The 25,565-nt window shown below is 43.9% G+C and overlaps 3 annotated features.

Annotated features, from left to right (window-relative positions):
* Positions 11,399-11,458: an enhancer, noted in NCBI's record as "active region_24644". NCBI's record gives its function as "activates an Ori minimal core promoter by ATAC-STARR-seq in GM12878 lymphoblastoid cells {active_cell/tissue: GM12878}" and the evidence as "EXISTENCE:reporter gene assay evidence [ECO:0000049][PMID:35858748]".
* Positions 11,469-11,588: an enhancer, noted in NCBI's record as "active region_24645". NCBI's record gives its function as "activates an Ori minimal core promoter by ATAC-STARR-seq in GM12878 lymphoblastoid cells {active_cell/tissue: GM12878}" and the evidence as "EXISTENCE:reporter gene assay evidence [ECO:0000049][PMID:35858748]".
* Positions 15,519-15,568: an enhancer, noted in NCBI's record as "active region_24646". NCBI's record gives its function as "activates an Ori minimal core promoter by ATAC-STARR-seq in GM12878 lymphoblastoid cells {active_cell/tissue: GM12878}" and the evidence as "EXISTENCE:reporter gene assay evidence [ECO:0000049][PMID:35858748]".

Below are 25,565 nucleotides of genomic sequence, written 5' to 3' on the forward strand. Positions count from 1 at the left end.
CCTGTGATCTGCCCTTTAGCGGAAGAAACAGCAAAACCGGCATCAACTAAAGCAACTGGGAACATCAAGTTTTTATTCATTTGTTGATTTGAACAGTATTTCATTCTGATTTTAACTGACTTCTTTTGCATTAGATTAAAAACAACAACAAAAGACTGAAATCTTTCAAGAACAAAGAGGAGCTGGCCTATAAATCCTAAATACAGATGTAGTGATTGAACCCATCTAGGTAGCTTATGAATATAAATCTCACCCAAAGTTTCATCCACACTTAAGAGATAACCACTGTTAATATTTTGGCAACTACTCTTGGAAGTATTTGTGTCTAAATACAAATACCTATGCGTATGCAATTTTACTTAACTGTGATCATAGTAGGCCTGCTGTTCTGTAACCTGTTTTTTTTTAATCTTGATAATAGATGATAGAAATCTTTTCATTTAAAAAGCAATGTTATATATGAAGTAAAATTTGCTTAACCATTTTTTTATTTATGCTTCCGATTTTTCACTATTACATGCAATGCTGTAATGAATCTATCTGAGCATACATGTTTTTACTCTTCTGTAATTATGTTGTGTAAGTAAATTCCTAGAGGTATGATTGCTGGGTCCAAGGGCATACACTCCTAACTTCTTTCTTTAGGGCTGTTATGGCTTCACCAAAGTTCAAAAAGGGGAAGTGAATGAATGGTAGGAGGAACACTGGGGTCTCGGGGTGGCTCCATTTAAAAACTTTGTAAAAGGGAAATAAAAACAAAGCTATCTTCTGAAGATTAAACTTTAAAATCAGCACACAGCAGGCCAGAAGAGAGATGTGCAAAACCATGCTGAAGAGATGAATCATGGTCACTCACATGGTGTATGAGTCCGGTCAGGAAACAGAAGCCCTCCTGGTTTTTCACGCTGAGGGGATCTAATTGAGGAATCAGAAACTGGGTGATGGAAGGACTGGAGGAACAGTGGCAGTCAGGTAAGGTTATCCGAAGACTAGCGGCTGCAGGAAAGCGCCACCAGCTGTGGGCTGGAGGAGCCAAGGGGGAACGTCTCCTTGGAAACCAGAATCGGTGTGATTCCAAGCCATGGCTGTAGAACTGAGCTGCTTCAGCAGGAAGCCAAGAGCAGCACTGCTAGGCCAAAGCCCCTGACACTGCAGCCACTGCCACTGCCACCCTTGGGTGTCAATAGCACTGTCACAACTGCCTGAGACACTACCAGAGGCCAGCAGGGAGGAACTATCCAGGCTTTTGGCAGTGCCTCCTCTTCACAGAACCTCACTGAAAGCCTGTTGGAGGGCGTCTGGGAAATGCAGCATGTGGAGGCTCACCCTGCTATGCTAGAGCATAGCAAAGAAGGCTGGGAACGCAGCTGACAGCGAGTAGGCAAATGATCCGTGCAAGTAGTACTGTGGGTCAAAGCAGTGGGATAGCTAAAGAGAGCAACTGTCAGTCAGAGGAAGGGCATCGCAGCCATGGAGGCACTGAAGATGGGGCGTCACAGAGTGACATGGGCAGTGCTTATGCCAGCAGAGGTGGGCTTGGCTCTCTGGAGCTAGCCACAGGAAGAACCCTGTGGTGACCGCCGCCCCTTGGCTCTCAGTCTATGCCACGAGAACATGCTGTGGGAGACTGGCCCACAGAAGTGGCTCTGCTGCAGAGCACAGACAGATGGGGTTTCTGAACCTTCTTGGTGGACTGCTAGGCCCTGGGCAAGGGCAGGCTAACCAGTGTGCATTGCCATTCTGGGAGACAGGAAGCCAGCCTGCCCATAAGGCAGATAAGTCTTAATATTTTTGTGCTGCTATAACAAAATACCTGAGACTGGGCAATTTATAAACAACAGAAATTTATTTCCTCACAGTTCTGGGGGCTGGGAAGATCGAGGAACCTGCATGTTCAGTGTCTGGTAAGGACTTAGTCTCTCCTTCCAAGATGACACCCCTTGTTGCATCCTCACATGGCAGAAGGTGAAAGGGCACAAGGAGAAACATCTTGCCAATTCCCTCTAGCCCATTATAAGGGCAGAGCCCTCATGGCTTAATCACTTCCCAGAAGGCCCCACCTCTTAATACTATCACATGGAGTCTTAGGTTCCAATATATGGATTTTGGAGACACAGACGTTCTAATCATAGCCACATACCTCCCAGGGACTGGCCCTTGGCCGTCTTCCTTTACCAAAAGGACATCTGCACAAGTGTTTATTGGGTTCCTATCAGGTCCTGGCCTTGTGCTATGTGCTCTACATATAGGATCTCATTTATTCCTTTCAGTAACCCTGTGTGCAAGGTTAGGAGGTAGGGCCTATCACTCCCATTTCACTGATCAGGAAACTGAGGCACAAAAAGGTCAAGTGACTTGCCCATGGTCACATAGCTGGTACCGAACGGAGACAGGATCTGTTTGTCTCCAGGGCTCTGGCTGTACCACCACCTGGGGCTGCCTCTCCCGTTAGACTTCCTCTTGGTAGCAGGTCAAAGCCCTGGAACTGTTGAGCCGCCTTTGGCTAGTGGGTCTCCCGCCGGGTGGCAGCAAAGTTGCTCTCTGGAAGCACTAGGTCTCTGAAAAATAAGAAAATGCCAGGAAACTAGAGCAGAAAGCTGGAAAACAAGGAACCTTACCAATACCCTCATCCCCCATCAGCCACAGCATCAGTGTCGTGTGGGGAGGGAGAAAGGAGGTGCTGAAGGAGAGGACAAGGTGCAGGAAAGAGGAGGAGAGAAGCCGGTGGGCTGTCCAACGTGATGGCTCTGAAGCACCAGTGGCTCCTAGGCCCTTTAAGGTCAATGTGATTAATCACGTTCCATGTACAAGGTGACTTGGCTGTTACTGTATGTTATCACCCTCCTCTCTCGTCCCCTTAGATCATCTGACTTCAACAACCAACTCTGCATGAGAACTAGAAAATGCAAGGATTTCTATAGGTCTCTATGGTGACTGTATTAGTATCCCAAGGTCCAAGGGCATTTGCTACCAAATTATCATTATTATTATTTTTTTTTATAATTGTGAAGCTTTTTTTTTTATTATACTTTAAGTTTTAGGGTACATGTGCACCTTGTGCAGGTTAGTTACATATGTATACATGTGCCATGCTGGTGCGCTACACCCACTAACTCGTCATCTGGCATTAGGTATATCTCCCAATGCTATCCCTCCCCCCTCCCCCCACCCCACCACAGTCCCCAGAGTATGATATTCCCCTTCCTGTGTCCATGTGATCTCAATGTTCAATTCCCACCTATGAGTGAGAATATGTGGTGTTTGGTTTTTTGTTCTTGCGATAGTTTACTGAGAATGATGATTTCCAATTTCATCCATGTCCCTACAAAGGACATGAACTCATCATTTTTTATGGCTGCATAGTATTCCATGGTGTATATGTGCCACATTTTCTTAATCCAGTCTATCATTGTTGGACATCTGGGTTGGTTCCAAGTCTTTGCTGTTGTGAATAATGCCGCAATAAACATACATGTGCATGTGTCTTTGTAGCAGCATGCTTTATAGTCATTTGGGTATATACCCAGTAATGGGATGGCTGGGTCAAATGGTATTTCTAGTTCTAGATCCCTGAGGAATCGCCACACTGACTTCCACAATGGTTGAACCAGTTTACAGTCCCACCAACAGTGTAAAAGTGTTCCTATTTCTCCGCATCCTCTCCAGCACCTGTTGTTTCCTCACTTTTTAATGATTGCCATTCTAACTGGTGTGAGATGGTATCTCACAGTGGTTTTGATTTGCATTTCTCTGATGGCCAGTGATGATGAGCATTTTTTCATGTGTTTTTTGGCTGCATAAATGTCGTCTTTTGAGAAGTGTCTGTTCATGTCCTTCACCCACTTTTTGATGGGGTTGTTTGTTTTATTCTTGTAAATTTGTTTGAGTTCATTGTAGATTCTGGATATTAGCCCTTTGTCAGATGAGTAGGTTGCGAAAATTTTCTCCCATTTTGTAGGTTGCCTGTTCACTCTGATGGTAGTTTCTTTTGCTGTGCAGAAGCTCTTTAGTTTAATTAGATCCCATTTGTCAATTTTGTCTTTTGTTGCCATTGCTTTTGGTGTTTTGGACATGAAGTCCTTGCCCATGCCTATGTCCTGAATGGTAATGCCTAGGTTTTCTTCTAGGGTTTTTATGGTTTTAGGTCTAACGTTTAAATCTTTAATCCATCTTGAATTGATTTTTGTATAAGGTGTAAGGAAGGGATCCAGTTTCAGCTTCCTACATATGGCTAGCCAGTTTTCCCAGCACCATTTATTAAATAGGGAATCCTTTCCCCATTGCTTGTTTTTCTCAGGTTTGTCGAAGATCAGATAGTTGCAGATATGCGGAGTTATTTCTGAGGGCTCTGTTCTGTTCCATTGATCTATATCTCTGTTTTGGTACCAGTACCATGCTGTTTTGGTTACTGTAGCCTTGTAGTATAGTTTGAAGTCAGGTAGTGTGATGCCTCCAGCTTTGTTCTTTTGGCTTAGGATTGATTTGGCAATGCGGGCTCTTTTTTGGTTCCATATGAACTTTAAAGTAGTTTTTTCCAATTCTGTGAAGAAAGTCATTGGTAGCTTGATGGGGATGGCATTGAATCTGTAAATTACCTTGGGCAGTATGGCCATTTTCACGATATTGATTCTTCCTACCCATGAGCATGGAATGTTCTTCCATTTGTTTGTATCCTCTTTTATTTCCTTGAGCAGTGGTTTGTAGTTCTCCTTGAAGAGGTCCTTCACATCCCTTGTAAGTTGGATTCCTAGGTATTTTATTCTCTTTGAAGCAATTGTGAATGGGAGTTCACTCATGATTTGGCTCTCTGTTTGTCTGTTATTGGTGTATAAGAATGCTTGTGATTTTTGTACATTGATTTTGTATCCTGAGACTTTGCTGAAGTTGCTTTTCAGCTTAAGGAGATTTTGGGCTGAGACGATGGGGTTTTCTAGATATACAATCATGTCGTCTGCAAACAGGGACAATTTGACTTCCTCTTTTCCTAATTGAATACCCTTTATTTCCTTCTCCTGCCTAATTGCCCTGGCCAGAACTTCCAACACTATGTTGAATAGGAGTGGTGAGAGAGGGCATCCCTGTCTTGTGCCAGTTTTCAAAGGGAATGCTTCCAGTTTTTGCCCATTCAGTATGATATTGGCTGTGGGTTTGTCATAGATAGCTCTTATTATTTTGAAATATGTCCCATCAATACCTAATTTATTGAGCATTTTTAGCATGAAGCGTTGTTGAATTTTGTCAAAGGCTTTTTCTGCATCTATTGAGATAATCATGTGGTTTTTGTCTTTGGCTCTGTTTATATGCTGGATTACATTTATTGATTTGCGTATATTGAACAAGCCTTGCATCCCAGGGATGAAGCCCACTTGATCATGGTGGATAAGCTTTTTGATATGCTGCTGGATTCGGTTTGCCAGTATTTTATTGAGGATTTTTGCATCAATGTTCATCAAGGATATTGGTCTAAAATTCTCTTTTTTGGTGGTGTCTCTGCCCGGCTTTGGTATCAGAATGATGCTGGCCTCATAAAATGAGTTAGGGAGGATTCCCTCTTTTTCTATTGATTGGAATAGTTTCAGAAGGAATGGTACCAGTTCCTCCTTGTACCTCTGGTAGAATTCGGCTGTGAATCCATCTGGTCCTGGACTCTTTTTGGTTGGTAAACTATTGATTATTGCCACAATTTCAGCTCCTGTTATTGGTCTATTCAGAGATTCAACTTCTTCCTGGTTTAGTCTTGGGAGAGTGTATGTGTCGAGGAATTTATCCATTTCTTCTAGATTTTCTAGTTTATTTGAGTAGAGGTGTTTGTAGTATTCTCTGATGGTAGTTTGTATTTCTGTGGGATTGGTGGTGATATCCCCTTTATCATTTTTTATTGTGTCTATTTGATTCTTCTCTCTTTTTTTCTTTATTAGTCTTGCTAGCGGTCTATCAGTTTTGTTGATCCTTTCAAAAAACCAGCTCCTGGATTCATTGATTTTTTGAAGGGTTTTTTGTGTCTCTATTTCCTTCAGTTCTGCTCTGATTTTAGTTATTTCTTGCCTTCTGCTAGCTTTTGAATGTGTTTGCTCTTGCTTTTCTAGTTCTTTTAATTGTGATGTTAGGGTGTCAATTTTGGATCTTTCCTGCTTTCTCTTGTGGGCATATAGTGCTATAAATTTCCCTCTACACACTGCTTTGAATGTGTCCCAGAGATTCTGGTATGTTGTGTCTTTGTTCTCATTGGTTTCAAAGAACATCTTTATTTCTGCCTTCATTTCGTTATGTACCCAGTAGTCATTCAGGAGCAGATTGTTCAGTTTCCATGTAGTTGAGCGGCTTTGAGTGGGATTCTTAATCTTGAGTTCTAGTTTGATTGCACTGTGGTCTGAGAGATAGTTTGTTATAATTTCTGTTCTTTTACATTTGCTGAGGAGAGCTTTACTTCCAAGTATGTGGTCAATTTTGGAATAGGTGTGGTGTGGTCCTGAAAAAAATGTATATTCTGTTGATTTGGGGTGGAGAGTTCTGTAGATGTCTATTAGGTCCGCTTGGTGCAGAGCTGAGTTCAATTCCTGGGTATCCTTGTTGACTTTCTGTCTCGTTGATCTGTCTAATGTTGACAGTGGGGTGTTAAAGTCTCCCATTATTAATGTGTGGGAGTCTAAGTCTCTTTGTAGGTCACTCAGGACTTGCTTTATGAATCTGGGTGCTCCTGTATTGGGTGCATATATATTTAGGATAGTTAGCTCTTCTTGTTGAATTGATCCCTTTACCATGATGTAATGGCCTTCTTTGTCTCTTTTGATCTTTGTTGGTTTAAAGTCTGTTTTATCAGAGACTAGGATTGCAACCCCTGCCTTTTTTTGTTTTCCATTTGCTTGGTAGTTCTTCCTCCATCCTTTTATTTTGAGCCTATGTGTGTCTCTGCACGTGAGATGTGTTTCCTGAATACAGCACACTGATGGATCTTGACTCTTTATCCAATTTGCCAGTCTGTGTCTTTTAATTGGAGAATTTAGTCCATTTACATTTAAAGTTAATAATGTTATGTGTGAATTTGATCCTGTCATTATGATGTTAGCTGGTGATTTTGCTCGTTAGTTGATGCAGTTTCTTCCTAGTCTCGATGGTCTTTACATTTTGGCATGATTTTGCAGCGGCTGGTACCGGTTGTTCCTTTCCATGTTTAGCGCTTCCTTCAGGAGCTCTTTTAGGGCAGGCCTGGTGGTGACAAAAACTCTCAGCATTTGCTTGTATGTAAAGTATTTTATTTCTCCTTCACTTATGAAGCTTAGTTTGGCTGGATATGAAATTCTGGGTTGAAAATTCTTTTCTTTAAGAATGTTGAATATTGGCCCCCACTCTCTTCTGGCTTGTAGGGTTTCTGCCGAGAGATCCGCTGTTAGTCTGATGGGCTTTCCTTTGAGGGTAACCCGACCTTTCTCTCTGGCTGCCCTTAACATTTTTTCCTTCATTTCAACTTTGGTGAATCTGACAATTATGTGTCTTGGAGTTGCTCTTCTCGAGGAGTATCTTTGTGGTGTTCTCTGTATTTCCTGAATCTGAACGTTGGCCTGCCTTGCTAGATTGGGGAAGTTCTCCTGGATAATATCCTGCAGAGTGTTTTCCAACTTGGTTCCATTCTCCCCATCACTTTCAGGTACACCAATCAGACGTAGATTTGGTCTTTTCACATAGTCCCATATTTCTTGGAGGCTTTGCTCATTTCTTTTTATTCTTTTTTCTCTAAACTTCCCTTCTCACTTCATTTCATTCATTTCATCTTCCATTGCTGATACCCTTTCTTCCAGTTGATCGCATCGGCTCCCGAGGCTTCTGCATTCTTCACGTAGTTCTCGAGCCTTGGTTTTCAGCTCCATCAGCTCCTTTAAGCACTTCTCTGTATTGGTTATTCTAGTTATACATTCTTCTAAATTTTTTTCAAAGTTTTCAACTTCTTTGCCTTTGGTTTGAATGTCCTCCCGTAGCTCAGAGTAATTTGATCGTCTGAAGCCTTCTTCTCTCAGCTCGTCAAAATCATTCTCCATCCAGCTTTGTTCCGTTGCTGGTGAGGAACTGCGTTCCTTTGGAGGAGGAGAGACACTCTGCGTTTTAGAGTTTCCAGTTTTTCTGTTCTGTTTTTTCCCCATCTTTGTGGTTTTATCTACTTTTGGTCTTTGATGATGGTGATGTACAGATGAGTTTTCGGTGTGGATGTCCTTTCTGTTTGTTAGTTTTCCTTCTAACAGACAGCACCCTCAGCTGCAGGTCTGTTGGAGTACCCTGCCATGTGAGGTGTCAGTGTGCCCCTGCTGGGGGGTGCCTCCCAGTTAGGCTGCTCGGGGGTCAGGGGTCAGGGACCCACTTGAGGAGGCAGTCTGCCGGTTCTCAGATCTCCAGCTGTGTGCTGGGAGAACCACTGCTCTCTTCAAAGCTGTCAGACAGGGACATTTAAGTCTGCAGAGGTTACTGCTGTCTTTTTGTTTGTCTGTGACCTGCCCCCAGAGGTGGGGCCTACAGTGGCAGGCAGGCCTCCTTGAGCTGTGGTGGGCTCCACCCAGTTCGAACTTCCCGGCTGCTTTGTTTACCTAAGCAAGCCTGGGCAATGGCGGGCGCCCCTCCCCCAGCCTAGCTGCCGCCTTGCAGTTTGATCTCAGACTGCTGTGCTAGCAATCAGTGAGACTCCGTGGGCGTAGGACCCTCCGAGCCAGGTGTGGGATATAGTCTCCTGGTGCGCCGTTTTTTAAGCCGGTCTGAAAAGCGCAATATTCGGGTGGGAGTGACCCGATTTTCCAGGTGCGTCCGTCACCCCTTTCTTTGACTCGGAAAGGGAACTCCCTGGCCCCTTGCGCTTCCCAGGTGAGGCAATGCCTCGCCCTGCTTCGGCTCGCGCACGGTGCGCACACCCACTGGCCTGCACTCACTGTCTGGCACTCCCTAGTGAGATGCACCCGGTACCTCAGATGGAAATGCAGAAATCACCCGTCTTCTACAGCTCACCCTGGGAGCTGTAGACCGGAGCTGTTCCTATTCGGCCACCTTGGCTCCTCCCCTTGCTACCAAATTATTACTAAGCCTCCTACAAAGCAAGGTCTCCACTACTCCTTTGCTCAAGCATGGTGACTCTAACCTTTGCATTCATGGATGTGGCTGGCAGGATGCCCCGTGGGCTCAAACCATTTCCATAAAGTACACGTGCAAAGCCCCTGCTGAGAGACACCAGGAACATCTTTCAAGGCTCTCAGCTCCAGCTTCTTCTTTCAAAATGCACAAGGTACAGTTTCTGCTGCCCACGTGGTCACTGGAGGGTGTTAATTCTCCGACCCAGCCATTCCTTCCAGAGCAGGCACGGTATCCTGTCCACCCTGTCCCTATAATGCCCAACACCATCTAGGCGTGTAGCTGGTACCCAATACTTGCTGATGGAGGGAGCAGTCCCTGGGCCCACGCTGGCAGCGGTGAGCTCCGTCTCTTACTTCCTGAGGGATGCCTGGGCTGCCTGGATGGAGATGAAGACCTGTCTGCTGGCCAGTCTGGCAGTGGCCCGGGAGGGAAGGTCATGATGACCTGTCTCCTCTACAGCTTCCAGGCCTCGCCTTTGCTTGTTTTCTGGGAGCCTCGGTGTCTGCCCACAATGGCATGGCTCCTTCAAGCTGCCCAGATTCTTGGCCTGGTGTGTGGGCCGCACGGCTTGTTTCCATGGTGAGCATGGCAGGGGTGGCTGGCACCCCCAGGCTGACAAGCATTCCTCCCAGGTCTCTCTGAGCAGAGCTTGTGCCAGCCACTCTGTTCCCAAAGGGGGTTTTCTGATGTGGGGGGTGGTCACCTCAAAATTGGCTGTGCTTTGAGCTAGAGTGAACAAATAGAAGACATTTGTATCCATTCCTTTCTCTGACATCCTCATTTGGTCCTAAATGGGTTTGGGATGCCTACAGGAAATATCGCTTTTGGGAGGGAGCTTGGACATCATCTGGCCTGACCCCCTTCACCCTGCAAATGGATCTCGGAAGGTCACAAAGGGCAAGAGACGGGCTCAGGGCACAGAACAGATGCAGCACTGAGCTGGGAGGAATCCTCATGTCTCCTGAAGCCTGTGTTCTTTCTGCTATAGCGCGTCTTGGCTCTCTGGAGTGAGTTACCCAGTGTTACTTCTACCCTAGGAAGGTGAGGTGTGGCGCGTTGGGACTGCCTGGAGCTGTCAGGCCACACGCTCATGCACATGCATGTATGCACAGTGGGAGTGGATACAAAATTTAAAATAAAAAACAATTTTAGTTTGTCTAAACCACGGGTTGGGGTGAGGGGTGGTGAGCAAACCACGACCAGTGACTTACTCTTGTACAGCTTGTGAACTGAGAATGACTTTTACTTTTTTTTTTTGAGATGGAGTCTCGCTCTGTCGTCCAGGCTGGAGTACAGTGGCGCAATCTTGGCTCACTGCAAGCTCCACCTCCCAGGTTCACGCCATTCTCCTGCCTCAGCCTCCCAAGTAGCTGGGATTACAGGCACCCGCCACCACGCCCAGCTAATTTTTTTTTTTTTGTATTTTTAGTGGAGATGGGGTTTCACTGTGTTAGCCAGAATGGTCTCGATCTCCTGACCTCGTAATCTGCCTGCCTCAGCCTCCCAAAGTGCTGGGATTACAGGCGTGAGCCACCGTGCCCAGCCTACATTTTTAAGTCGTAGTGAAAAAATAAGATGTGACAGTGACTGTATGTAACCTCAAAGCTGGAAATACTTAACCATGTGACCCTTTCCAGAAAAAGTTTGCCAATCCCTGACTTGATGACCTGTCTGATTGTTCACCCAGTAATGGTTGGCAGTCTTCCTAGGACATTCAAGACTCCCTCTTTATAGGTAGATCTGGTTGGCTTCATAGGCTCAGACTCTGAAATGCAGAATTGGCAGCTTTCTTCCTTCGTCTGTCAGATGCCTATGGCTTTTCTAAGTTTCTTGCTGTTGCTGAATTTTTCTCTCCTCAGGATAAATCAAGCAGTGGAATCCTTTGTCAGGTGAATTAGGGAGCCGAGGCTGGTGATGGACATTTACTGCTGGTACCCACGGTAGGGCAGGGAGGCAGGGACACTGTTGCCTGAGGTGTCCTGCAAATAAATGACTCGGCTGGGGCTAACCAGAGTTGAAGGCTGAGAACAGACAGCTGCCAAGAGTGTGACAGGGAAAATGTCTTTCCCGTCAAAGAAAAACATAAAGATGCTTGCAATCTGAGTATTTCTGTTTCCTCCCCTCCACGACAGGCTTCTCAACTAGTTCCTGTCTAGCCAGGCTGCTCATTTCTTTATAGTCACTGAACCAGAATAACCACAGATCAAGCCGGAAGCACATGATAACCCGCTGAACTCCGCACAGCCCTGGCTGGGCTTCTCTGAGTGAACAAACGCTGCCCTGGTCTCCGCAGCTGTGAAATATCCAGTGAGCATCCAGCTGCGGGTTAGTTACTTCCACAGTCAGAGAAGGAAAGAAGAAAATAAGAGTGACAGATGCACAGAACCACGGACATTCGAGACTGTCATAGCTGTTCACAGTTGTTGAAGATTTACAGGCAAGCCGTTTGGAGTTTAAATGTGAGATGACACCAGGGGCCTCTAATGTACAGTGGAGCTTTAAGCATGATATGGGGGCAGAAAATGGTCTGGGAACCCCCTTCTCTGAGATCTTAGAAGTTCTGTTCTATTGACTCCAGGCAGGGCTGCAGCCACGGTGCACTTCATGGACTCATAAATATAACATTATTGGACAAAAAAACCCCAATCCTTCTCTGACTGATTAGGCCCAGATTGGTCAGCCCATAAATCAATGCTGAATAAGAACTATAAAGTTGTGAATCAATGTGTCCCAGATCTCCAAACTGGAATGAAAAAACAGGAATAAAATAGCTGGAGCTCTTCCAAGATCCTTCTTTTCATCCCCCTCCTCCCACCGCCCCATATGCTAGTATGCTAATTTTAAAAGGCTTCTCTTTTCCGCTCCTTGGCCTGGCTGTGGACAGCATTTCAGGGCAGGAAATTCGGTCTAGAAGTGTGGCTGAGGAAACAAGAGGCTGTTCTGTTGCATTTCTGTTCAGGACTGATCTGTAGCTCTGTCGTGTATCCTTGGTCATGTATCCTTGGCCAGGGTCTCCACCTGTGGCCGAGAAGTGATGGCATTTGTTGTCTGTGTCACAGATACAGGAAGGGAACAAGAGTGATCAGGTCATGTGTGGTCCATGAATGGTTTTTTAGGTCCAAGCAGTTTAAGGGCTCTGAGTCCCTGCATTGAAATATTAAATATAATAATGGATTCTCACCTGTAATCCTAGCACTTTGGGAGGCTGAGGCGGGTGGATCATGAGGTCAGGTGTTCAAGACCAGCCTGGTCAAGATGGTGAAACCCCATCTCTACTAAAAATACAAAAATTAGCCTGGCATGGTGGCAGACACCTGTAATCCCAGCTACTCGGGAGGTTGAAGCAGGAGAATTGCTTGAACCCAGGCAGCAGAGGTTTCAGTGAGCCGAGATCATGCCACTGCACTCCAGCCTGGGCGATAGAGTGAGACTTCGTCTCAAAAAAAAAAAAAAAAAAAAAAAAAAATGGAGTCTCCTCTTAGAACTGCACATGAGGTTTAGAAATGCCACCTGGTCATCCCTGTTGGACATGGTTACCCTCTTTGGATCTGGGAGCTGAGGGTATCTGCTGTGAATGTTGTCCACGTGTACTTGGAGGGCATTCCCTGTCCTTATTCCTCTGGAGTTCCAAAGCAAAGTTTGTTTTCTGAATCCCCCTTCTCTACCACTCTCCTCTCCAAAACACACCCTCAGGGTACTCTTTCCCCTCCTTTTGACAGCTCATTTCAGGGACACACTGTGTACATGTACCTGCCCCTCATAAGGGCTCGTTGTTAGGGGCCTGCTCTCCTGGGCTGGGAGCTCTCACTATTTCCTGGTCACCCCGACGCTGAGCTTCCCTGCTATCTTCTCCCCTTTGGGGAGGACACACACATGGCCCCACGCAAATATTCTGTGCTGGTGGCCTCCTGGTTTTCCCCAAACACAGACTATAAAGACTGGAAGGAACCGCAGGCTCACCCAGTTCCACCTGCTCATTTGGGGAAACTGAGGGGTGCCAACTTACCTAAGGTAGAACTCACACATCTTTCCACCCATTTCACTTTATCCTGGTATAAACCTGAGCTGACTGCATTCTTGTTCTTTCCCCCTGTAAAGAAATAAAGTCCCATTTAGGTTTTCCCAAAGCACTGTCTCTGTACAGTTGGCTGTTTCCTGTGGACATTTTCATTTTCTCCTGTGTTTTTCTCTCTCTTTGCTGTGACTTACAAGACCATGAACACATAAGCACAGGACCCCAGAGGAAAAGTTCTCTCTTTCAGTGTGTGCCTCCAGGAGGAATGAGACTACCGGCAGTGATGTTTGACTGATGAGCACCATTGTGGTGCTTTACCACTAGCGGTCACAGAAACCTTGCAGAATGTGTCTAGGGAAGTGGATTTTGTAGGGTTGGCTAAATTTGTACCACCCACAGCACAATAGCAGCACTGTACAGAAAAGGTGGCTTTGAAACAGGTTCAGTTTTACATTACTGTGAGGTACAAAATCAGGTGAAGGACCATTTCTATAGCTTAAGAATTTATATTTTTCCTCTTAGACCTGAAACTTTATTCATCCTGGGTCTTCTACCTTTAAAAAATTGAGACATTATTTCTCCCCATTTTCTGGGAAGACAATCCACCCTCAAAATTAGCTGTAAGAAATAATGTGATCATCAACAAAGTAAAAAGGTAACTCTCAGAATGCGAGCAGATATGTATAAATCATGCATCTGATAAGGGATTAATATCCAGCATATATAAAGAACTAAAATTCAAAAACAAAGAGCCTAATTTAAAAATGGGCATTTCTGGGCCAAGTGTGGTGGCTCACACCTGTAATCCCAGCACTTTGGGAGGCTGAGGTGGGCGGATCATGAGGTCAGGAGATTGCAACAATCCTGGCTAATATGGTGAAACCCCGTCTCTATTAAATATACAAAAACAAAATTAGCTGTGCGTGGTGGTGGGCACCTGTAGTCCCAGCTACTCGGGAGGCTGAGGTGGGAGAATGGCATGAACCTGGGAGGTGGAGTTTGTAGTGAGCCGATATCGCACCACTGCACTCCAGCCTGGGTGACAGAGTGAGACTCAGTCTCAAAAAAAAAAAAAAAAAAAGGCATTTCTCCTAAGAAAATATACAAATAACCAATAAACACATGAAAAGAGGCTCAACATCACCAAACATTAGGGAAACGCAAATCAAAACCGTAATGAGGTAACACTCACACCAAATAGGATGGCTACTATCAAAACACCATAGCAAAAAGCAAGTATTAATGAGGATACACAGGATTTGGAACTCTTGTGCCCTGTTGGTGGGAATGTAAAATGGTACAGCTACTGTGGAAAACAGTATGATGATTCTTCAAAAAATTAAGAATAGAATTACCATAGGATTCAGCAATTTTGCATCTATAGGTTGGTGCAAAAGTAATTGCGATTGTTGCCATTAAAAGAAATAGCAAAATCCACGATTACTTTTGCACCAACCTAATAGGTCTATACCAAAAAGAATTGAAAGAAAGATCTCAAAGAGATATTTGTACACTTATGTTCATAGCAGCATTGTTCATGATAGCTAAAATGCAGACACAACCCAAGTGTTCCTCTACAGAAGAATGAATAAACAAAATGGTATGTACATTCAATGGAAAATTATTCAGCCTTAAAAAGGAAGGAAATTCTCACACAGGATACAACATGGATGAACCTTGAGGACATTATGCTAAGTTAAATAAGACAGTCACAAAAAGACAAATACTGTATGATTCCACTTATATGAGGTAATTATTTGAGTATAAAATTACTAGATCTAATCTAAATCTGCCAATTACTATTCAAAATAATAGAGATGGTGGTTGCCAGGGGATGGGGGCAATTGAGAGTTATTGTTTAATGGGTAAATAATTCCAATTTTACAAGATGGAAAAAGTTCTGAAGATGGGTGGTGGTGATATTTATACAACATTATGAATGAAGGTATTAAAACCACTGGAACTATACACCCTGAAAAATCTTTAAGAGGTTAAATTTTAAGTTATGTGTATTTTATCAAAATAAAAAATTGGAAACAATATTGTAAAGTTTTAATAATCTAAAGAAAATTCTTCCTTTAGGGTGTTATTCCCAAAAACGTGGTGTTGGTGTTCTAAATATCTAGGATATTATTTTTATAATTTTAAAACATGCAATCATACTGCTGGGACATGACTCTTTAAACAGCAGATCTTTGAGTGAATGTGAATGTGATAAACTCTGCTTTCTAGAGAATCCTTTTTAACCACTTAATGCCTCTTTTAGCTACTAGGTCTAAGAATCTATAGAGAGGGGATATGGCAGAGTGTAGAAATGACCCTAATTATTCATCCCTCCTGTATCTATGTCCTTCACCATACACATCTGTATTGCTGTCCAATGCTGTTTCTGAGCCTAATCATGGACCTGTTTTGGCCAACAAGGTAAAGTGTAAGTATCAGTTCCACATATAGAACTTCAGAGACTGTGTGTGTTTCCTTTTGCTGTCTTGTGTATCTGCCATTGCCATGACAACACGCTCAAGCTAGCCGGCTGGAGGAAGAGAAACTGAGCAGCAGAGCTGAGCCATCTCTGTTGCTCCAGTCAAAGCCAGTCTAGATCAGCCAACTGCCAGCCGACTCTCACACATATGAGTAAGCCCAGCCAAAATTAGCAGAGCCACTTAGCTGACCTCCAGCTGACCCTAGATGTTTACTGTTGCATGTCCCTGAGGTTTTTTTACTGCGAGGGAGCATTATTGTGGAAGTAGATGACTGATTTAGGGAATTGCCTCATATGCTTTTTTTTTTTTTTTAATCACTCCTTTTCCCCTTGTTTCAATCAACTTGTCACAAATACATCTGAACATTGTTAGGTGTCTACCCAATATCCACTCTCCTGCTTTTTCTTACTGCCAGAACCACATGCCCAGCTAAAAACCTACATTCTCTGGCTTCCTTTGTAGAAAGGAGTTGTCATGTGACATTCCTTTGGCCAATGAGAAGCAAGTGAAATATTGAGTAGTTCCTTGAAGGAGGATGGGGAGTCCTTTTGCCCTTCTCCTTCTTCCTTTCTGGAATAAAAATCTGATGCTGGAAAATATTATGGCCCCAAGGAGCCAGCACAAGCTGAGAATGATTGAGAGGAAAGCAGAAAGAGCTTGGGTCTCTGATGGTATGACTACAGTACCAGCCATGGGCTGCCTCCTTTTTCACTTCTAGCTACATGTGAAAAAAATAAGACTTCTCAACTAATTATGCCACTGTTTTTTTTTTTTTTTTTTTTAATTCTTTTACTTGCAGTTCATTGTAATTCATTTTCTTCTTTTTTTTATTTGTGACAGAGTCTCACTGTGATGCCCAGGCTGGATTGCAATGGTGCGGTCTCAGCTCACTGCAACCTCCGCCTCCTGGGTTCAAGGGATTCTCCTGTCTCAGCCTCCCGGGTAGCTGGGATTACAGGCATTTGCCACCACACCCAGTTAATTTTGTTTTTTTAGTAGAGATTAAGTTTCTCCATGTTGGTGAGGCTGGTCTTGAACTCCCGACCTCAGGTGATCCACCTGCCTTGGCCTCCCAAAGTGCTGGGATTACAGGTGTGAGCCACCATGCCTGGCCCATTGTAATTCTTAATACTACACTCTAGAGCCTATTTTATCCTTATTTGAAGAAACTGCTTAGAACAAATAAAGATATTTCACATAAAATATCATTGTGAATTACTATGCAAGTACATTAATCCATACATAAAAGAACAATGACTTCCATGCATTTATGTCGGTTTATATTTTTGAAAGTTTACAGTATTCCTAATAGATTCCCCTCAATACACATTTGATTAGTACCCCATGTCCATTCTGTATTGGGGGAAACTGAGGCAAGGAAAGGTTTAACTTTGTCCAAAGTAAAACAACCTGTTAGTCAAAGAGATTGGTGGGGGGGACTTGAAAATGGGTTATTCAGGATTCCTGAGGAAGGATTGGATGTGTGTCTCAATTAGACCTAACTATAATGATTGAACTTCTGTACTTTGGACTGTGACCAGCCTTTACTCAGCGAGACCAAAGACACTGAGTCTTTTTGACTCTGAATGGACCAACCAAGACAGAAAGTCACCACAGTCCAGGACAGTCTTGTTTATAGGAAGAGAGAAAAGGAATAAAGGGTAACTTGTTGCCTTTTGTGCCCACAAAATTGTCTGCTCTCTCCTTTCTGCTCTAAAGTGGAGTGAAGTCAATTGGTTATAAGTCTGTCTCCCCAGAGCTTTCTGGTGGCCTCCTCAAGAGCATGACTAGATGTTTTTGTTTATATATCCCTGGCAGACCAGTGGGTACAGTTGTGCAGGTTGGTCACTGCCCAAGGGTACCAGGCTGAGGAGTGAGTGAAATCCACACTTATCAAGCAGTAGGGCCAATGGGATTATTCTACATCAAGAGGAAGGGCTTTTTTTTCTAATTTGCACACAGGTCCTCTATGGTACAGCGGGAACCCTGGTCCTTGATGCCCAGAGCAGAGTACAAGAGGCTTATTTGACGGTGAATAACCTCTCAGATGACTGCTTCTTTTTTGAAGCTCAGTTTAATCAGGTTTTAGTAGCAATAAAGTGTTTCTCAGGTGGGAGCTGGTGAGTGTGACAGACACTTAAATTTTTTCTCGCAAGTTGCCACAGAATATTCACAGAAGTGAATCAGCAGTTTCAAAGTTAAGAGAAGAGAAAAATAATAAACAGCTACCATTTATTAAGCAATTATGTGTCAGATTTATACTTATTATCTCATATAATCCTTACAGCAAAACTGTAAGGTAGGTTCCATAATACCCCCATTTGAAATATAAGGAAATGGGTTCCAAACTGCTCAAAGTCATATAGGTGGCAAGTAACAAAGTTTGGATTTGAGCCCAGGCTTGTTTGATTTTAAGCTCTTTGTTCTTTGTCATGCATTTTCCTAAACTGTAAATTATTTGTCATTAGTGCAGGTGTAGCAAAGACACTGGTATTCACCAGTTGTTCCATTGACTCCCCTACATTTTTCACTCTTGCTTGTAATTATGTTGGGGCTATATGATTGGGTGCTTCCAATAGAATATAGGTGGGAATGATGTCCAACCACTCCCAGGCATGACATTTAATAAAATTCTTGGCAAACCATCACTCCTCTCTTCCTCTGCTACAATGACTCTGGAAACCAGATGTTCAGATGTTGGCATCTCCAGATGGGTGGAGTCTGGATCCCTGAATCACTGCATGGAGGAGAATTGCCCTGAGGAGCCACTCAATTTACACCTGACTTTACATGAATGAAAAATGAGTCTTGTATTTATTGAAGAATAATGTAGCCTAGCCTAACTGATATAGCAGAAGTAGTAAGAATACTTTTATATATTTATGTTATACAATTGTTTATACTGCACAGAATACTTTATTGATTCTCATAAAAATTATGAGAGATAAACAGGGATTATAAGCCCCATTTTATAGGAGAGGAAATCGAGGCTTAGAGAAGTGAAATGATTTTCTCAAGACCACACAGTTGGTAGGTGGTCAAACCAAGGTTAGGATCTTGGTATTTTTCCCACACTCTGCAATTTTATAACTTCCTAGCTTAATGTTATAAAAGCAAGCAGTAACCTCAGAGGGAATGAGGGTCCCACTGTATAGAGTTCTGCAGATTAAATTAAACACCTTGAAGGACTAAAAGGCTAGGTAGCCAGGACAGACAGGTGTAATACATTCCAATGGTTCATATTCTTAAGTCAACAAGATGTTGGCATCCTGTGGCTGCTCAGACTCCTGGGTGGTCCTGCAGGGGAGTCCTAAGCCTAGCTTTCCAGCAGTCCAGTAAGCAGATCTCCAACCTGAGTCATAGGCTTTGAATTAAAGATAAAAATGCACATGCTCTGGGTGAGAGCCCTCAGTCTCTCCAGGAGAATCAGGGGACTGTTTTTCCCTCTTCATACCCACACAACAATAATCATTTTACTTTTTACAGAATTCTTTACAGTGCACAAAATGTATCCCTCTCCATTATCTAATTTAATTCTCCAAAAACCTGATCATGCATTTTTGTGGTGAAACTCAGAAAGGTTGACTTACTGTAAGATAATAACAGTGATGCCTCTGATAATAAAATTTGCCATTTTTTAGACGTCTATTATCTCATTCAGTCCCATAACAGTCCTCCAAGGTTGGTATTACCACACCTTTTGTGCAATGAGGAACCTGAGGAATGAGAAGTTTAAAAACACGTCCAAGGATATTCAGTGAGGAGGGCTCTGAGTGGGCTTCATAAAACCCATGCTGTAATTCTTGACAAAAAACAAAAGGGACAGGCTGGAGTGTGGAAGCCCTCAGTTATCCCACCCCATACTGGGGACGTGCTACAAAAACCCAAGGGTCCACTTTATGCTCTGGAAACTTTGTTAGACACAATCAATTTAAAACTTCTTTAAATCTATCATAGTTTTTGATCTTACCTTTTTTCAGGGAAGGGGATCCACAGTTCTGGAAGATCCCTTTTGCAGGAAGTGGCTTCCATTTCATTGACCTCCAACGACAACTTCCTACTAAGAAGATGGTAGGAATCTCCTTGTTTAAAGGCCTTCGTCATAACTTTGTAAATGTTGACCTTGCCCACCTTCAGTGTCTGTTGCTGACTAAAATCTCCAAATCTTTTCTCTCTCTGGGTCAAGCTCCTATGTTCCTTCTTCCACAGCCTTGAGCTGCCAATGGTCTGAATGCAGCAAGGATCCAAGTCATGACTGTTTGTGTTCGTTGCTATCCTCCATTCCTTGATATGGTTGGGTCCTCTGCTGGCATCCTCCTCTGTAAAGCTCACGTTATTGGGACAGGAGACCATCTTTACATTGAGGGTTTCCCTGCGGGGTCTGCAGCTACCCAAATCCAGGACATCTTTCACTCTGTGCTCTGTGCATGTGCCCCCTTGGAGTAGGTAAGGCAGGACTGTTCTTAGACTAATTCATTCATTCAGAAACGTTTATGAAGCACTGGCCATATCTTAGACACTGTACTGGTCTCTGGGGATGGAGTGGTGAATAAGCCATGTCTGTCCTAATTGATGGGAAGGTGCCATCCACATGTGTGTCACTTGGGAAACTCAAGAGTCACTATCGACTTATTTTTCACCCTTAGTCCCCACATTGGAATCGAACATCAAGTATTACAAATTTTACCTTCTGAACATCCATTATACTCATCTCTACTCTGCATCCCAGCCAACACTCCCCTAGTTTAGTCCTTTAATGCCTCTTCTGTTGATTATTGTACTTCCCCCATAACTAGTGTGTCTGATCTGGTGTCACCCTCAGAAATCCCTCTCCCATACTGTAGCACACAATCTGCCTCACATACACTTCTAACTAAGTTGCTCATTCAGATTTTCAAGTGGCTCCCTTTTGCCCATTTTACATGGAGTACAAAGTTCTTGGTGCCTGGTTCCTACCTGCCTCTCTTGCCTTGCCCCTCAGTAGTTGCTATTCCACCACCAGCCAGATCCTTCAGCCCTTTTGGACTGGCCGGCCTCCCGTTCTCCTGGTGGGTGAGGGATTTGATTCTTCCCTCTGTACATCTCTCCCCTGACCCCACTGCCTCTCTGCCTTTGTTCCCTGATCCACGCAGTCTGGACCCTGCCTCTTTCCTAACTTCTGCATCTAGATAACCCCTTTTTGTTCTTTAGGGTTTGTTTTAGGGCCTAATTCCTCCAGGAGGTTTTTCTTGATTCCCTGTCCATTCCATGAGAGGCATCTTTCCTCAGTGGGCCCATGGCGTCCTCTGCACAGCTCCATCTTTGCTCCTGACCCCTGGCATGGGAGTCATCTCCACTGAGCCTTGGTGCTTCACTGGACTCTGGACTCCACGAGCGGAAGGGCCCAGTACTCAGCACACAGTGGGCCCCCAATAAGCTTGCTGAATGGTTAAGCAAATAATCCCAGTGCAATGGAAAACAGGCAGCTTGAGGGCATGACTGACTCCACCTGGGGAGTTTGGACGTGGTTCTAAAGAAAAGACATGCAACTGCATGTTGAAGGAAGCAGAGAAGTTTATGGGACGGGTGTAGGGATAGGGCAGGCCCCAGCCCCCTGCCATCTTCCTTGTGGTCGCCTGATTTCTGGTGCTGGGCAGGAGCTGAGCTATTTCAAAGAAAATGTAGTCAATAGCCTTCGAGAAAAGCGGATTGAAAACCCACCAGAGCAAGAAGCCATGAAGCAAGATGAGTCAGCCACAGATCCGACTCTCAGTGGTTTCATGGTCTAGCAGGGAAGCAAATGCAGTCTTTTTTTCCTCCCTGTTTTATAGTTCTATTTGTACCAGTACAACGTTCATGCAGGGTTACAGGTTACAGGGAGCGCAAATAGACCTCACACGCACTTGTCTGTGTGGTCTGAGAACCTGTCTTGTCCCTGTGCCCTGCTCATCACCCCCATGACTGCCCACGGTGTGATGGCTCAGGCCACTGCTTCAGGGCCGGCTTCTTTGGGAGCAGAGCAGCACCTAGGAAGTAGGTCCCTTCTGGGATTGGAGAGTTGAGGCACGAGGTACCAGGGCTCCAGTGACACTGCTGCTGCCCTTGCCGGCCCCTCTTCTCTTGGGTCTTTTCTTGGTTCCTGGAGTTTTTCCTTTTTCCTGGTAATGGATGTTGGAACTAGGGAGGGTCAGAGGCTATGCAGTTCTGGGGACAGAATGGTACAATTGGAACAAATGGAATTTCAATCCTAGCTTTTCAGTGGAGGGGGTGGTCAGCTCCAAATGTCCATGCTTTTGTGATAAAGAGCCTCAAGAAGCCCCCACAGTCTGTTTTGTAGTAGGCATCAAAAGTGTTAAAAATGGGTGCACTTTCCTGACTATATAGTGGAGTAAGACTCTGCACTAAAAAGGAATAAATTAGTGATGCAATAATATGAATGAATCTCCAAATAATTATGCTGAAGAAAAGAAACCAGAGGAAAAGAGTATGTATTGGGTAACTCCATTTATAAAAAACCCTGGAAAATTCTACCTAGTCTGTAGTGATAGAAAGCAGAGCAGTCATTGCTATGGGGAAAGGAAGGGGAGAGAGAGAGGGATTAGAAAGGGCCACAAAGAAACATATGCGGGTGACAGATGTGTGCATCACCTTGATTGTGGCAATAGCTTCATGGGTATATACATATGTCAGAAATTACGAAATTTTGCACTTTAAATACATGCAACTTATTGTATGTTAATTATACATTAGTAAGGTTTCTTAAATTTTTTTAAATGTGGGTTCATTTTGACCCAATAATTCCATTTCTAGCAACCCTTCTAATTAAGTAATTGAAGAAGGGCACAGTTTATGTTCAAGATAATCAGCATGTTGCTTAGAATAGAAAAAAGGAAAACAACTTGGAAGTTCAATAATAGGGGATAGTTAAAAAAATTAATGGTTAAATAAATTCCAGATGATGGTGGAATATTCTGTATGCTTTAAAAATCAGAAAATATTATTTATTATGGTGGAGAAAATGCTTATTATGCAGTGTTTGGTGGAAAGTCTGTTTATAGTAGGAACATTATGACATCAATATGTTATAATAAAGACACATGCAGAAGAAAGACAGGAGGACTGGTACAAAATGTCCACAGCAGTCATTTCTAGATGACAAGTAGGTAACAAGTAACTTAAATTTTCTTCTTAGTGCTTCTTTTTTTATTTTAGAGATGGGGTCTCACTCTGTCACTCTGAGTGGCGTGATCACAGCTCACCGCAGCCTTGACCTCCTGAGCTCAAGGGATCCTCCCACCTCATCCCCACCAGTAGCCAGGACTACAGGCATGCCACCACACCTGGCTATTTTTTTTTCTTTTACTTTTAGTAGAGATGAGGTCTTGCTGTGTTGACCAGGTTGGTATTGAACTCTCAGCCTCAAGTAATCCTCTTGTCTTGACCCCAGCAAAGTGCTGGGATTACAGGCATGAGCCACTGTACCCAGTTTCTTAATGCTTCTACGTATTATTTGAATTTTCTACTATTGAAATATATCACTTTTTAAAATAGAAAACAACCCAAAGCAATACAAGATTTCTTTCTTTCTCCTTTCCTTTCTCTTTCCATCTTTCTTTCTTTCCGTCTTTCTTTCCTTTCTTTTCTTTTTTCTTTCTTTCTTTCTTTCTTTCTTTCTTTCTTTCTTTCTTTCTTTTCTTTCTTCTTTCTTTCTTTCTTTCTTTCTTTCTTTCTTTCTTTCTTTCTTTCTTTCTTTCTTTCTTTCTTTCTTTCCTTCCTTCTCCCTTTCTCCTTCCCTCCTTCCTTCCTTCCTTCCTTCCTCTTCTTTTTTTGAAGGCCCCACAGCCTCCTGTGTGCAGAGGCTTCAGGGGAAGGGCCCAACTCTCCCATGCTTTTACTCCTGTGGCCAAGTAGGTGCTGTCCCTTGACCAGGCCAGTGCTCCACAGGGCTTAAGAATGCTCCTGTCCAGGCCTTCACATTCTGTCTGGGGCCCTGGCTCTTCTCAGCTGGCCGCACTGTTAGATTGCACAAGGGGCCACTTGCTCCCTGTGCTGTCAGGGCAATAACTGGGCAAAGGATGCTTGTGGCCAGGCCATGGGGGGCCTGGGCATTGGGGAAAGTGGCAAACCTTGGCATTCCGTGATCCTTTCCAGCTTCATTTTCCCTGGTTAACTGCAGCTGTTAGGAGCACTTAGGAAGCAAAGCATTAGCTAGTGTAGCCTTGCCCAAGTCACATGTCTATTACCTTCCAGTAAAAGCTGCAGCCACAGACTGGGAGCCTGGGTGCAATATGAGCAAGTAGGTTGGCCTGAATTTCCCAGCCTCCTTTATCTTTCTTCCTCCAGCAACAGAAACTGAGGAGGACTGAAAGAAGTGCTGTTAGCTGCAGACTTGTTGAGAACAGAATGGCTTTCTTTGCACTAGGTGTCCTGCTCTCTGGGTTGCTAGTCTGGACCAACCAGCTGAAATCAAGAGGTTTAACTGGTACTTTGAAAATGCCCCTGCCTGGTCTGCTAAGGATGACAGGAGTTGGAAGGACTGAGGTGACTTGTCCCAGCTGGCTGACACTGAGAGATTGTTGCTGAATGAACAGTGGAATCCACCAAGACCAAGAAGGTCTGTGACATGAAAACCAGTTTGCCTGAGTGGACAGAGGCTTGTGGGGGAAGCCACTGGGTGTAGACCATTGGTGGCCCTGAATATATGCAGGGGTTGGCAACATGATGGATGAGCTGCATAACCTCTGTGAGGCTGTTTGCTCATATGTACAATGGGATGTGAACACACACGTAGGATTCATTCATTCAGCCATTTATTCACTAAATATTGACTGAGCATGCACTGTGGGTGTGTAGATACAACAAATTGATTAGGCTTGGTCCTTATCTCATGTTCTCTGTGGTTCTTCACTATCATGTTGCTGAGATGCCTGGGGATTATACATATTTATGACCAAGCTCATGACACATTGTGGATGCTCAAGAAATGCTACTGTCACGGAGGCCAGGACTCTTGCAAGGGAACAATGCCTAGGCCTGGTTACTGGACCTGTGGCTATGAGGCAGAAGCCTGGATACTGGGGCACTGACCATTGAGGGATGTCCTACAAACAGGCATTGACAGTGAGTCACCTGCACTGTTGCACTGGTGTGCCTGAGGGCAGGGTTGGCTAGAGAACTTTTGGGAGCAAGGGAAGGGCTTAGCTATAGGGAAAGAAAGGTATGGGAACCATGCTGTCATTGGAGAAAGGTTTTCATTGGCTGCTGGAAACAAATAAGTATTCTCAATGTGTGTATATACGTGCATATTCAGGTGAAAGAGTGTTCATTTTGTATATTATTCATTTATATAAAAAACATTTATTGAATACCTGTTCAGTGCTATGTACTGTGATTAGAGTTGAAAATAGGCGAACCATGAAACACAGCACTCCCGGATCTTACAATCTGAGGGGAAGAAAAGGAATTGCATATAAACAAGGCAAAGTGGTGGCCTTAAGGGCCAGGATGAATGATTGAGGACATAGTGTGCACTCAGTGTTAGAAGGCCAGTGCATGGAGAGTTCAGAATGGGTGAGATCGGTTTGATTTGGAATGGGCAGGAAGTTGGAAAATATCTTACAACAGATAAATGGATGTGGGGGTTCTTAGCTCAACCTCACACTCTGTGCCCTGGGGAGGTTCATAGGAGAGTCAGCACACAGGCATCAGGAAGTGGAGGTTGCTGTCGAGTGGCATTAATTCATTCACTCAACAAATCTTTACTGAGCACCTACAATTGCCTGGCACTATTCTAAACTCTGGAGACTCAGTGATGACAGGAAACAACTCCTGCCATATTATGGCATGCATTGTAATGGAGGAAGATGAAAAATAGTTACAGCAATAAGTGAGTTATATGCAGCAGCAGTTCTCAAAATTTTGGGTCCCAGAAGCCCTTTATATTCTTAAAAATTATTGAGGACCTCAAAGAACTTTCATTT

Source organism: Homo sapiens, chromosome 6 (assembly GCF_000001405.40).
Source record: "Homo sapiens chromosome 6, GRCh38.p14 Primary Assembly".
Lineage (NCBI taxonomy): Eukaryota > Metazoa > Chordata > Mammalia > Primates > Hominidae > Homo > Homo sapiens.